The 1311-nt window shown below is 50.3% G+C and overlaps 1 annotated feature.

The window, feature by feature from the left end:
* Window positions 419–999: an enhancer, noted in NCBI's record as "NANOG-H3K27ac-H3K4me1 hESC enhancer chr3:170601523-170602103 (GRCh37/hg19 assembly coordinates)". NCBI's record gives its function as "activates a minimal SCP1, AML or CMV promoter by ChIP-STARR-seq in primed H9 embryonic stem cells {active_cell/tissue: H9 hESC(primed)}" and the evidence as "EXISTENCE:reporter gene assay evidence [ECO:0000049][PMID:30033119]".

Genomic DNA, 1311 nt, shown 5'->3' with positions numbered 1-1311 from the left:
ATCAAAACAGTGAGGTACTGGCAAGTGAATAGACAGATCAATGGAATAGTATAGAAAATCCAGAATAGATCCAGATACACATAGAAATTTAATATACGATCAAGATAGTATTGCAAATCACTGGGCAAAGATTGACATACATTGGAAAGGGAGGAGCCAAGATGGCCGAACAGGAACAGCTCCAGTCTACAGCTCCCAGCGTGAGCAACGCAGAAGACGGGTGATTTCTGCATTTCCATCTGAGGTGCCGGGTTCATCTCACTAGGGAGTGCCAGACAGTGGGCACAGGTCAGTGGGTGCACGCACTGTGCACGAGCCGAAGCAGGGTGAGGCATTGCCTCACTTGGGAAGCGCAAGCGGTCAGGGAGTTCCCTTTCTGAGTCAAAGAAAGGGGTGACAGACGGCACCTGGAAAATCGGGTCACTCCCACCCGAATACTGTGCTTTTCCGATGGGCTTAAAAAAAGGCGCACCACGAGATTATATCCCACACCTGGCTCGGAGGGTCCTACGCCCACGGAGTCTTGCTGATTGCTAGCACAGCAGTCTGAGATCAAACTGCAAGGCGGCAGCGAGGCTGGGGGAGGGGCGCCCGCCATTGCCCAGGCTTGATTAGGTAAACAAAGCAGCCTGGAAGCTCCAACTGGGTGGAGCCCACCACAGCTCAAGGAGGCCTGCCTGCCTCTGTAGGCTCCACCTCTGGGGGCAGGGCACAGACAAACAAAAAGACAGCAGTAACCTCTGCAGACTTAAATATCCCTATCTGACAGCTTTGAAGAGAGCAGTGGTTCTCCCAGCAGGCAGCTGGAGATCTGAGAAAGGGCAGACTGCCTCAAGTGGGTCCCTGACCCCTGACCCCCGAGCAGCCTAACTGGGAGGCACCCCCCAGCAGGGGCACACTGACACCTCACACGGCAGGGTATTCCAACAGACCTGCAGCTGAGGGTCCTCTCTGTTAGAAGGAAAACTAACAAACAGAAAGGACATCCACACCAAAAACCCATCTGTACATCACCATCATCAAAGACCAAAAGTAGATAAAACCACAAAGATGGGGAAAAAAACAGAACAGAAAAAATGGAAACTCTAAAAAGCAGAGCGCCTCTCCTCCTCCAAAGGAACGTAGTTCCTCACCAGCAACGGAACAAAGCTGGATGGAGAATGACTTTGACAAGCTGAGAGAAGAAGGCTTCAGACGATCAAATTACTCTGAGCTACGGGAGGACATTCAAACCAAAGGCAAAGAAGTTGAAAACTCTGAAAAAAATTTAGAAGAATGTATAACTAGAATAACCAATACAGAGAAGTGCTT

This window comes from Homo sapiens, chromosome 3 (assembly GCF_000001405.40).
Source record: "Homo sapiens chromosome 3, GRCh38.p14 Primary Assembly".
Classification (NCBI taxonomy): domain Eukaryota; kingdom Metazoa; phylum Chordata; class Mammalia; order Primates; family Hominidae; genus Homo; species Homo sapiens.
This window is presented reverse-complemented; position numbering and strand designations above follow the sequence as displayed.